Below are 13,847 nucleotides of genomic sequence, written 5' to 3'. Positions count from 1 at the left end.
ATGTATTCATCATTGAAATAATTTAAAACTGTTTGTGGAAGGTTAATTTTTCATATTATGTATAATAAGAAATTTGTTTTATTTTTAGGATAAAAGGTACTCCAAATAAAACTGATAAACTTGACAGTAAAGTTAAAAGAATTGGACCACACATAGAAATCTTCCAAGTGTTCCGAGAAAGAAAAAAATTCATGATTACCCCAAAATTGATTAGAATGGTCACCGTCATGCAGGCACATGTCAGGGGATGGCTTGAACGGAAAAGATTGCAAAGAGTAATGACCAAGGTAAGATATCCATCAGATATTATAATGTGTTTAAAATTTCTCATTAGATTCAATTCAGTAGAATTTTGAATAGTCATCTGGTCAATGTACATACTTTTTTTTTTGGAGATAGAGTTTTGCTGTTGTTGTCCAGGCTGGAGTGCAATGGCGTGATCTTGGCTCACTGCAACCTCTGCCTGCTGGGTTCAAGCGATTCTCCTGCCTCAGCCTCCTGAGTAGCTGGGATTACAGGTGCCTGCCACCACATCCAGCTAATTTTTAGTGTACATACTTTAAGAAAATGTGATGAATAATCTGTTATGATGACAGTTTTTAGGCTGTGCAAAGTTGGAGACTCTGAACAAAAGGCCTCACTTATCCTTAACTTAGCAATTCTGGGACCACCTATTCTTAAACAAGGATATTTTGAAATAACTTTGCACTAAAGTTGTTTCTTCTTTGCTGTCTGTTCATTTTCTGTTTAGAGCAACTTTCCTTCACTTCCCACACTCCTGGGTACTCTTGCAGTGCATAAATGTCCAATTTCAAAAGAATTACACACATATACAAATATCTACCTGGTCAACTTTCATAGATCGCAATCCTGATTTTTAAAATAAATAATGCACACCCATTTTGGCTGGGCAAATGCAGATGAACCTAAGTGGGTCCATCTTGGAAAACCTTTGAGAGAATCCTAAATGTCCTCACCTTAAAGGGCTAAAGTTTTACTGCTAATAAGGAATTTGGGAAATCAACTATAAATAAAATAGATTAGTAGTGCCCACTCCAATTCCTTGATCTTCTGCGAAAAACCTCTGGAATAGATTTGCAGTGGGCATCCTGAACACATTTCTCTGACAATGTGGTGATACTGTTAGAGTTAATCCATCTGCCTATCTCTGGGTATAAATTTTTACATGTACTAACATGTATAAATTAATATGTATGGGAATCACATATGTAGTTCTGATTAAACATGATAATACATGTAAAACTCTGGCAAAAGGTAAACACTCCATATACTTAATCCCGTAATTTTGTAAGGTAGCTGCTATATCTATTTCATTGCTGAAAAAAATGAAGCAAATTATTTGCCCAAAGTCAAACAGCTGGTAAGTGAAAGAGCTAGAATTCAAACCCATGTCTGTCTAAGACATTGACAGATCCATGGTTAAATTAGACTTAAATTTCTCCAAAATGAGATGAACTAATTTTCTTACTCCACAAAGCTCTTTCTTTTCTGTAACTATCTATATTGATAAACTGTTCTACCACTCATTGTTCAAGCCATAAACCTGGATGTCTCTTAGATTCTTTCAACTTTTTCACTCCCATATTCAACTGGTTCCACTTTCATGACATTTGTTGAACTGCTCTTCTTTGTGCTTCTTGTCAGAACTTCCATTCATCTACCCTTACATGGAGAATTGCAATAGTTTCCTAATTGATCTCCATGCCTGCAGACCTACTTCTGTCAAATCTATCTGCCATGTGCCATATTTGAAAAATTCCACTATTATTACCTTATTCCATTTCTTACAATCTTTTTGAAGACCTATATTGCTTACAGGATATAGTAGGAACTATAACATAGTACACACGACCTCCCTGTTTTGGCTCTTGCCTTTTGTTAAGCTTCATCACATGATACCCCCTGACACATTCTCTGTGTTTTAGCAAACTGCAAATCTTGATTGTTTCTTGTCATCTTATATTTTCATGCTGTTCTCTCCTCTGCCTTCCTTATCTTCTGATAAACTCCAATTCATCTTTCAAGATCTTCCTAAAGTGTATTCACTTAGACACCCTCTCTGGTCCATCAAGCAGAGCTGATCTCTCCATTTTTCTGGTCATTATTGTGCCAGTTCTTTAGATTGTTGTCATCTGTTTACATGTTTGATATGGACAGTATGGTTTATATGACTTATTTGGAAGTACGTACTCTTTATTTTTCTATTCATAGCACCACAGACTATCTTGACACATAATATATACTCCATCACTTTAACTGTATGCATGTATGGTCTACTATTTTTTCTTGTTTATCTCTTTGTATACATATATTTTTCAGTTTGGCTAGATAGATTGCAAACTCCATGAAGACAGGTATCTGTCTTGTTTGTTTCTGTATTCAAATGCCTAGAATGGTGTTTAGTATGTAGTAGGCACTCAACAAATACCTATTGTATTTGATTGTATTTGATTATATGTAGGCACTCCACAAATACCTATTGAGTGGATGAATTGATATAATTGTAGAAGTTTATCATGGCAGTCTAAGGAGATCACACACACACATCCTTAAAGTTCTGTCTACACACATTTGATACATGCTATATAATTTAATTATAGCATTTCCTAATATCAGAAATAATTGTAGAATCATTCATAACCTCTGGCACAAAAATGAATCTAAAAAATTGAGAGAGAAAGAATGGGCCAAAGATGAGCGTGAAAAGGAGTGATTTAATTGATAAGGAAAATGCTGAATTTCTATACGGAGATAGAATTTGAGATAAAAAAGTACTTTTTAAAGGATCAGAGCCAATATAAAGTAGATTGTTGACTTTTACTTGGTTATAATATTTGTTATGATCATTGATTTTCTTTTTTATTCCATCATTGGCATGGTGCTTCATCTGTTGGATGATTGCTTTGTTGATGTGGTTAAAGTTGTTTTGCCTACTGTCAAAATCCTGGTGTGACAGCCTGTAATGCAGTTAATAGTAAGTTTCCTAGACTGTGCCTGTGTGAAGGGTTGCTGTTGGGGGAATTCTTGATAACTTTCTGCTCTAGAGGGTGCACAGCAAATCACTGGATAATTGTCAGAACTGTGGCAGTCCCTCCGCTGGGAGACTTCCATAGTCATATTGCTTTACTGCCACTTCAGAGTTTGTTGCTGTGGACAGTGTCTGCTAGAATGTCTGCTAGAAGTTTAAGATTACTCAAGAGACTGTACAATTTCCATTCCCTATGAAAAATTTGGTTTGAAATTCTTTGGAAATAGTGAAGCAGCATCAAATTATCTTACCTGTCATACATCGAAAGACCACAGAGATTGCTATATTTTAATATGAATATTTTTTACACAATTAAAAATGTCCTTTTCCTTTAAAAATTTTTGTGCTGTTTGTTTGCATGTGTTTTGGTATAAGTAATAATGATATTAAAAATTATAAAGACACAAAACAGGGTATGTCCCTCGATGTAATGCTTCTAGGCTCTTACTTAATTTCAATATTTTTCTCTAAATATTTATAATTTTAAAGTTTTAATCCTAAATTAAATATATTCTATTGCTATTGGCTAAAAATGTTGAAATTCCAGGACATTGGAATGGTTGATAGCTACAATAATAAAAAGTGTTTGAAATTGGCTTTTAATAAATATTTGTTGAATCAATAAATTTGGAACAGCCCTGGAGAATCTGAGTTTCAATATTACCATAAGAATAACTCCATGGTCTTCAATATTTTGGAGGTTATAGAATTCTTTGAAAATTTGATAAAGTAGGAATTTCCTATCATTATCTCAAAAGAACAAAACAGAAATAATAACAAAATCTGAATCTATTCATGAAGCCTATAGGACAGGTCATCTTGTATAGCAGCAATCCCCAACCTTTTTGGTGCCAGGGACCAGTTTTGTGGAAGTCAATTTTTCCATGGACCAGAGCAGGGGCAGGGATATTTTCAGGATGAAACTGTTCTGCTTCAGATCATCAGGCATTAGATTCTCATTAAGAGCACACAACCTGGATCCCCTGCATGTGCAGTTCACAATAGGGTTCTAGCTCCTATGAGAATCTAATGCTGCCACTGACCTGACAGGAGAAGGAGCTCAGGCAGTAATGCTCTCTCACCCACAATTCACCTCCTGCTGTGAAGCCTGGTTCCCAACAGGCCACAGACCAGTTGGTTGGGGACTCCTGTTGTATAGAACAGTTTTATTACATAACGTGTGCTAACACTCACAAGTACCTGGAGACCTATGTTCATTTATTCAGTAACATATGTATTTTTTGATTTGATAATAGTTACTATATACTGGGTCCAATTTCCTGCCTGGTGTGTGAAGAGCATACATAGTCTAGTGAGCAATGCAGACAACTGAAAGAAGTCTTAGGTATCATCAGAGCATTTAGAAAGGCCATTTAACCCCAAGTGTGTTTGATGTGGCAATTGGATAAGACCAGTAAACTGAGATCTGGAGGGTGAGGCTTTATTTTGTCAGGTATACTGGGAGGCTGAGAGGCACAGGAAAGACAATATCAATGAGCTTAGGTGAGCTATTTACATTTAAGGGGCTGGGGCATAGCTGGGAGGACAATGGCAGTAAAGGAAGCTGAAGGTAGGAATCAGATTAATAACGTTCTTAGAAAACTTAATAAGGAGTTTATACTTGGTGTCTGAGAACGGATGCCTTTAAAATAGATCAGTGACACCAATAGATTTGTATTTTTGAAAAATTACTGACTTTGGACAATGGATTGGGAGGAGAGGGTGACAAAATGGAGGTAAAACAACTAGTATGCTTTTTCAGTAATCCAGTGCATGGTGGTGATGGGGAAATGGACAGTTGATAGGACTTTGGGTTTGGTTGTATTTGGAGATAAGGAGGAGGGTGGAGTCAAGAATGATTCCCAGGTTCTTGTCTTGAGCAATCTGGTGTATGGTTGAGAAATGTGGAATTTAAGGGAAAGGGCAGGCAAGAGGGAGCAGAAGAAAGGAACGAAGGTAGAGTCCAATTTTCAACACTGTGTTTTAACACTGAGTCCAGTTTTCAACACTGAGTTTAAAACTTTTGTGGGAAATCCTTGAGATGTCTGGGAAGCAGTTGAGTATATGGGTCCAAAATTCAGAAGGGAATTGGGCCATATAGAAAGACTTGGGATTTATCAGTAGTTCTTAAATTCTTTCATGGAAGAAGAATGTAAAACCCTCTCATCTATAAAAGTACCTCATTTTGGCAATGAATCTCATCATATTTCTGAGAAAGCTCTTCCCCCAGGTGATGCTCCTTTACTTCATTCAGGTCTCTGCTCATTGTCATATTATCGAAAAGCTGCCCCATACTAACCTGTAGAAAATAACTCTCTAATCACTCCCTGTCTCTTTTAAAACACTTTATTGTTCTTCATGGCACTTACTACCACCTAACATATATTTGTTTATTAGATTATTGCTCCTTTCACTAAAATGTAACCCCCTAAAAACAGAAATTTTATCTTTCCTGATCTTTAATCTATTCGCAAAGTCTTGTACATTCTTGGCCCATACTAGGAGCCTAATACATGTTTTTAATAAATTATTTTCAAGAGAGTGAAGGATACATAACAGCATTTTGGGGCCAGGAGGGATTTGAAATTTGAGAAACCTCTTCTAAATATGCTGATGCAGGTCCCTGACCAAGGATGCCCTCCTTGAAACCTGCCACCACCCATAGATTTGAGAATCATTGTTACTGATTCTAACTGGAGCCATGAAAGTCAATGTCATTGTCTAGGGAGACTATATAGAGTAAAGAGAGAATCATAAAAAGAAAGATTGAGAGAAACTGGTTGGTGTTCAAGGGGAAGCAGAAGATGAGTATTCCACAAACACTAAAGTAGTAACCAGAGAGGTAAGAAGAAAACCAGAATGTGCTAGATCAAGGAACTTGAAAGGCAGTACAAGGAAAAGTGTTAGATCCATAGTCTCCAATGCTGCTAGATAGAATTTTCTGGCTTTAGTAACAGTAAGTTCATGCAGTGAAAACATCTGCAGTAGATAAATTGAGGCACTACGAAGTTTAGAGAAGGATAGTTTAAGATAAAAAATATTTATGTATGCTTAAATGCTCATTGGAAGAAGCCAGTAAGAGGGAATGGTTGTCAATACAAGAAAGATGAAGATAATCCATATTATACGGACTTTAAGGAGATTGGAGGGGGTGGATTTCTAATTTACTTGACAAGATTAGCGTTAAGTGAGAGGAAACATATTTCTCCATTGTTGCAGGAGAAGAAGGTGTGTAGATGCAGCTAAGTGTTTAGACTTGCCGGTGGGAAGTTGGGGTTGCAATAAACTAATTGTTTTTTCTTCCTGTGTGAAGTAAGGAATTAGGCCATTTGGTGAGAGTAAGCATTTAGATGGGTTTGAATGTTCGAGGAGATTGAGGTAATACAGAAAATGGCAGAGAGATGCCTTAAAAAGCGTGCATGAAATTCCAGGCCACTTTGAGAACCCCATTGAGGTTGGTGATCAAGAATTGGAGTAGTAGCATTTCTCCAGGTTGTATAATTTTCTTTAGTAATTATGAAAAATGAGGCATGGAGATGTAACATAATTACCCAAAATTGGACATCTTGCAAGTGACATAGTTGAGAATGAATTCTGAGAATCAAACATAAGGCTGTCTAGCTCCAGAGCACTATAAAACGAGGCCATTCTGGTACCAGAAGTGTCCAATTATTGCAAATTGTGAAGTCTTTTCTCAGATCAGGCTCAACATGAACATTGGAGTTTCCTGCCGAAAGCCAAGGCTAGATAATACTCCCACCTGACGCTAATAGAGCTAATCCAGGTGAGCTCACATCAGAGACATGAAGCCAAGAACCACGGCCTATAGAGAGGCACCCTTTCTATGGCAATCAGGAGCTGCTATTTAATATTTTTCAGAGTACACTGGGAGAAAACAATATATTTTTATTTATATTTAATGATAAAGTTGACCAAGAATGTTTATTTAACAGTTTCTGTACTGAGCAATTAGACATAGAGTGATTGAGGCATATGCTTCAGGTAGTAGTAATAATAATCTCTTTGACTCAGATCAAAATGAGTACAGCAAGCAACAGTGACACAGAGGAGAGGCCTGAAAGAGGGCAAGAGGAACCAAACCTAGGAGAGACACATGTCCAGTAGCTATGCATGGATAAGGTCTTCGCTAGTTTCTTAGTGGATGGGGAAGTGAATATAAGATTCACACTTAATGGTATTTGTGGCTTGTATATTTGTAAGTGTGTGTTCATGTGTATGCGATCGAGATAACTATTTAGAATGTTCAATTTTTATTTCACTGTGTATAGGTTTTGCCATTTTAAAACATTTTCCCTTTTGTTTTTATAAGGCTTTTGAATAAAGATTTTTTTGATATTTTCATACCTAAATGCTTAGACAAGGTGAGACTTCAATCAACAAATGTGGTCAAGATATCTTCTTATAGGTCTATAGAATCTTTTTTCAAATTTAAAAGTCAAACTGGCAAAATAATTGCTGAAATATGACACAAAGTTTAAAAAAGCCTAACATATAAAAATCTCTTACAAACTGGTAAGAAACACACTAACAGAAATTAAGTCCTACTAAGGGTCATGTGATGGCGGAATTCTCCAAACAATGAATAAATTACTTAAGAAAAAAAAAAAAGACATGACCATATCAAGCAAAAACAAACTGAAATAAATACTGGAAAATTTTATTAAATGTTGATAAGTATAATACATTTGTCCATTAAGATAACAGAAATTGGAATATTATAATCAGTAATTTATAATAACTTTATATTGCAATATTGCTGTTGTAAGTAGAAATTTGTACTTTTTTTCTGATAAATTCTACCTTGAGAAATATTTAGACTTATAGTGAAAGATTTACATGCTGAAATGTACTAGCACAATAGCTGAAGCATATTTCCATGTGAAAGCCTGGGAGGGACACTCCCTGTAATAAAAACCACATGGATGGACCATTGTCATTTTCTCTGGCTCAACTTCCTAACCATGAAAAGCCCTAGGTAACCTTCCAAATGCCTGAGATCTGAAAAGGGCTCCCTTAGAAGATAGGTTGTGTTCCCCAAAAGAGTTGTTACATTCAGAGGAAAAGGTACTCAAATTGAAGTCGGTGGTTGCCCAATGCCCTTCCTTTTCTCAGAAACATCATCTGTCCAAGTAGCACATTCCAAGAGGGAACTTTTCTATTCAGGTTTTAAAGATACAGTCAAAAAACTGCTTGATTCTTAATTATAAGCAAAAGAAATCCACTTATAGATTTAAGCAGAAAGATGTTGAATAGGATATTGTACAGAAGTCTAGAGAACTAAGTTCATAAACATAAAGGAATAGTAAAGGCTGGGTAGCTCCCAGTAATCCAGCCAAATCCTATACAGAAAGAGTTTGATGCAGACACTGAATCCTGGGTGTTCCTGACTTTACAAATGCTGCCCTTGAAAAATGTATATTGGTACTACAGTTACTCTATCACACAAATAGATTTCCCACTGTTTCACTCTTAAAAGCATTATTTGTTTCCATTCAAAGTTTGGGATTGGTGGAGATAATGGATGAAGTTCACGTGTGTGCATCCTAGCAACAGAAGAGGTATGAGTCATGAGCACCTGACTTTTGGCTTCAAATTGTGGGAAGTGAGTTCTGCCTCCCACTAAGATTCATATGTAGGGAATGTGCCAAAAGTGCAATCAATTTATTATTTTTTTTAAAAGACAAAAGCCTATTGAACAAAAGGCAGATTAAAAATACACATTGAAAAATGTTATTAAATGTTGAGAGACATTAGCAAACATCCAGAATCTGCTATTAGATGGAAGGAGAAAGGAGAAGAGGAGGGTAGTAAAATTATGCTAATTAATTTTTCATTCAAATAAACAAAAAATATTATTTCACATAAACAGAAAATAACATGACAGAAACAAGAAAAATAATGTGTAATATGGGCCGGGTGCAGTGGCTCACGCCTGTAATCACTGCACTTTGGGAGGCCGAGGCAGGCGGATCACGAGGTCAGGAGATCCAGACCATCCTGGCTAACACGGTGAAACCCCGTCTCTACTAAAAACACAAAAAATTAGCCGGGCGTGGTGGGGGGCGCCTGTAGTCCCAGCTGCTCTGGAGGCTGAGGCAGGAGAATGGCGTGAACCCGGGAGGTGGAGCTTGCAGTGAGCCGAGATCGCGCCACTGCACTCCAGCCTGGGCGACAGAGCGACACTCTGTCTCAAAAAAAAAAAGAAAGAAAAGAAAAGAAAAAATTAATGTGTAATATGAAATATGCTAAGAAACAAACAAACAAACAAAAAATCTTGTAGAATGGATGCAAACACGGCCAGGTGCGGTGGCTCATGCCTGTAATCCCAGCACTTTGGGAGGCCGAGGTGGGCAGATCATGAGGTCAGGAGATCGAGACCATCCTGGCTAACATGGTGAAACTCCACCTCTACAAAAATACAGAAATTAGCCGGTCATGATGGTGAGTGCCTGTAGTCCCAGCTACTCCAGGGGCTGAGACATGAGAATCGCTTGAACTCAGGAGGCAGAGGTGCACTCCAGCCTAGTAACAGACCGAGACTCCGTCTCAAGAAAAAAAAAAAGGATGAAAACACTAAATTAAAAGGAATGTAGAGTACAATTAAGTGGGCTCTGGAATGCCTCTATGCTAGTTTCAAAACCAATGATACAACTTACTAGCTATGGGGCCTTGGGAAAGTTATTTAAAGATTTTCTGCTTCAGTTGTTTTCATTTATAATACGGTATGCAAAACACAGAAAAGGAAAGCCAACTCAGCGAAAAATGTGTAAATGTAAACACATTCCTAAACAAACAAGAAATAATGAAAATTTAAAAAATTAAGCCTTTAAGAAGTCAAGAACAGGAAAATAAATCTAAATATTATTTAGAAAGGAATTAATAAAGATATATAGAGACATTAATAAGCCAGAAAATGTAAAATGTAAAAATAATTGACTTGTTAACTAAAAGGGAATGGCTCTTTAGAAAAGAGAAAACAAATTTGAAATAGGTAAATATTTAAAACTTTAATAAAAAAATTGTTCTGGTGGAATGTTGAAAATGCATACACAGAAGAATGTAGTCACAGGTAAACTAATGAAACAAAATTTGCACATACGCTGAAAAGGGTTAATTTCTTGAATATTCAAAGAGATTTTTAGAAATCAACAACAACAAAAAAACCTTAAAAAGCCCAGGGAAAAATAGGTAAAGGACATGAATGTATAATTTCCCAAGGAAATAAGAGACAAAGATTTGAGCACCCAGAGTGGACTGCTTAGACAAGAATCATCTATTACAGAATAATACCTTAATAAGACTACATCGTTTCTGGCAGAGTGGGCTACATATTATGGAAATCTGCACACAAGTATAGGAAGTGTCTGTGAAAGAAGCCAATATTGGAAGCTCTATTCTATGGGAAGTATGAATATATAATGACAAAGCAATTCATAATGGAAATCTCTGAACTTCAGGGAGATTATATTACTCTACAATGCGTATATTTAGCCAACCTAGGCAATAAACAATAAATACACCCATAATCTTAGAAACTAGGTGAAATAGACTAAATGAAAGAGGCGAAATCAAATTAAATATAAATACCAGAAATATATAAGGAGCTTTTCTGTCTTTGTAGGCTTTGGATCATGGACCAGATATGAAAGCAGTTATTAACATGTATGGCAGACTAATCCACCGTGTTAGATATCGACGTGGTCTTTGGAGGACAAGACAAATTCTCAACTTAGCAGAGCTAGAGGAGTGGATGGACCGAAAAAAATGTAAGTGATGCAGACACTTCTGGTTTGAATTTAAGTTTGGAGTTAATTTAGCCATTGGAATTTTAAATATAATTACCTGTAGAAAGCAAAGGTAGATTATATGTTATATTGCTGTAAGCAATTTGCATTTTAAGTTAGCATGTTGTACATTTGAATTAATTTATTTGGATCCTCTGCAAGTAACAGAAAACTCATTTTAGCTATCCAAAGCAAAAAGGAAATTTAACAGGAGAATATTGCAAAGATAGTGAAACAATTAGATTTCAGACTGAATATGAAACACAACTGCTTCAGAGATCTAGGGAGCAGGAAATAAGGGATAATCTCAATTTGCCTCTGGGGGATAGATAAGCCCCTACCACTTAAAGACTCTTTGTTGCTATGCTTTAAATTCATATTCCAGGGAGACAGCAACTGATACATATAGCTTGAATCATAAATCCAACACTTTGCAGTGGGAAGGTAGGGAATCCTGCTTGAGAGTTGCACAGAAACTGTGTTCATTGGAGGAGGGGTAGCTGCACAAAGAAAAATTGTATATACCAGAATAATAGTTAATGGACACCGAGCCTACTAAACAACACATTGCTTATTAGTGTTAGAATTCTATTCATAGAACAAATTATCTCATTTATATCTTAATTTTCAGAGATCTCAATTTATATTTATATTTAATGAATTCAGTATTGCTTAGGATTAGGATAGATTATTAGAGCCAGTTTCTTGACTAAAAAAATGACACAAGTAAGTTATATTTAATTGGAATCATTGTCTTACTGCTTTATGGGTAAAAATGTGAAAATGTTGGTAGTCTCAGCTAGTCATACAGTATTTATTTTACATTTAAGACTGTAAGGTCCATGAAGAAAGGGATTATGTCTGTTATATTTATCAGTAAATACTCACTATCTAGCAAATGCCTGGTTTATAAGAAGGGCTCAAAAATATTTGTTAAAATGATAGTTTTCATTAAGTTATGATAAAATTATGTGCTAAAAGCTATTTGCAGATAACCAGAACTCTTTGAGTTAGAATAGTTTCTTTTCTGTGGCTAGAGGTAGAGGGAGGAAGAAGTCAGAGAGAGAGGAGAAAGAGAAAAGAGAGAGAGATTGTTTTATATAAGTCAGAGGTTGCTAGATCAATTCATCCAGCCCAGCCCAACAGCCTGGTTTCTAGAGAAAAGAGCAGAAAGCAGCAAAGTGTTGGAGAGATGGGAAGACAGGAAGAAGAAAGAATGAGAAAACGAGAAGAGAGAGAGAGAGAGAGGCAGTGATAGAGAAGATCCTTCTCCCATTAAGAAGCTACTTGGACTCCTTTTACTTATAGAACCGAGAGAGAGAGTGAGAGTCAGATTTTAAGACTTTTGCCCGTAAACTCTCCATACCACTAGTAGAAAATTCAGGAAGATCTTAGTATTTTTTTTATGAATAGTAGTTTATATTATATAATCTAATATGAATGTACTGATTTCATAATACTTATCAAAATATATACTAAAACCTTACAGTTATTACACTGACCACATTTTCTTTTCCATCCACTTTAATTTTTAGCTGCTGACTTCCAAATCACATATCCTTTCCAAAATGCTCCTACTATTTTACTCAATTAGTCTTCTCTTCATACCCCAAACTATCACTTAATTGATTTTTTAACGTTATGGAATGTTGCTTATTTTTCGTAGCTTTACTTTCTTTTCATGATTTCTCCTTCTCAATTTGTAATGCAGATTTCAATATTTTTGCATCCTAAAATATCCCCTCAGTTTGAAAAAAATAATTAATGTGATTTCTGTTTTCCAGCCTGGACTCTGGTGCTTTCTAGCTGAGAAGCTTTTTCAGTAAAAGTCTTATAGATAGTAAGGGATAAGCCAGGTGGACTATGGGGGAAGAAGGTTCTAAGCAGAGGGAGCAGCAAGCACAAAGGCCTTAATTTGGAGGCGGCTAGTCTTGGAGAAAGCCAGGAGACTAGTATTACTGGAATGAAGTTTGTGACTGGAGCAGAGCAAAATGAAATTGGAAAGGTAGTGGGGAGCACAGGTTATGTCAAGCTTTATAGACGATTGCATTTTACCTTGAGAGAATTGGGAAGCCATTGGAGGATTGGGAACAGAGGACTATGAAGCAACTTGTGTCGCAGACATCACTCTGGTAATTTTGTTGAGAATAGGCTAACATGTGGCAAAAACAGAATAAAGGAGTCCAGTTAGGACAGATGGTGGTCTGTCCAACATAGGAGCTGAACAGTAGAACAGAAATTGGTAAATGAATAATTTAAAGAATTACCAACCAGAGCATCCATTTACATTGAGGGGAAAGTAACTCAATAGAGACAGAATTTGCAAGTTCTAATTTGTCTTCATGTTACTTAGAAAATTCTTCATCCTTTCCGTGTGTTGATGGCTAATTGGGTGATATTTGGCAGTTACCTATACACTTTTTAAGCATCTTTCAATGATCAGAAAATTTCATTAATTTTCATGATTTAAGTTTTATATTTACCCTAAATATATCATCCTTGAATACTAATTATCCTTGCATGTTGCTGAAAGTTTGCTCATAGGGCATAATATACAGGTTAAGGGCACTGTTATCAATTATACAGTTTCAAAGTCATAATATTAATAGGTACATCAATATTATCTTGTGAGAAACATATAAAGTGATTAATTCAAGGATTTCTCAAGGAGAAATACATTTACTTAATCACAAAAGTAAAAGGTGATATTCTTTTTGTTTTAGTTTAGAATCAGATCCTGAGACAATAATTCAAGTACAACTAATTTGCTTGGGAGTTAATCCTAGGCAATACTGTTAATGGAATGAAGAAAGGAGACAGAAGGGAAAGGAGTCAAAAAAGAGTGCAATATCAAGCAAATTACTACCTGGACAACTGAAGCTTAATCCCTCTAGGGAACTGAGAAAAAACAGTGTAAACAACTTGCCTTGAGTGCTGGGTCTTTATCAACCAACTCCCCTGAGTCAGTGGTTGAGGCCCACTGCTTGGTGCAT

The 13,847-nt window shown here is 36.0% G+C and overlaps 1 protein-coding gene across 16 annotated transcripts in view; it reads left to right on the top strand.

Moving 5' to 3' along the window:
- The window catches only part of IQCM (IQ motif containing M), a 464,135-nt gene that overhangs the window by 251,865 nt on the left and 198,423 nt on the right, over positions 1 to 13,847 (top strand). For all 16 annotated transcript variants that reach the window (NM_001378180.1, XM_017008904.3, NM_001363507.2 and 13 more), the window contains 2 exons: positions 89 to 287; positions 10,692 to 10,836. In NM_001378180.1, the coding sequence (NP_001365109.1) occupies positions 89 to 287; positions 10,692 to 10,836 (344 nt within the window). The remainder of the gene's footprint in view (positions 1 to 88; positions 288 to 10,691; positions 10,837 to 13,847) is intronic.

Source organism: Homo sapiens, chromosome 4, assembly GCF_000001405.40.
Source record: "Homo sapiens chromosome 4, GRCh38.p14 Primary Assembly".
Classification (NCBI taxonomy): Eukaryota; Metazoa; Chordata; class Mammalia; order Primates; family Hominidae; genus Homo; species Homo sapiens.
The sequence above is the reverse complement of the archived record's forward strand: the minus strand, read 5'-3'. Positions and strand labels throughout refer to the sequence as shown.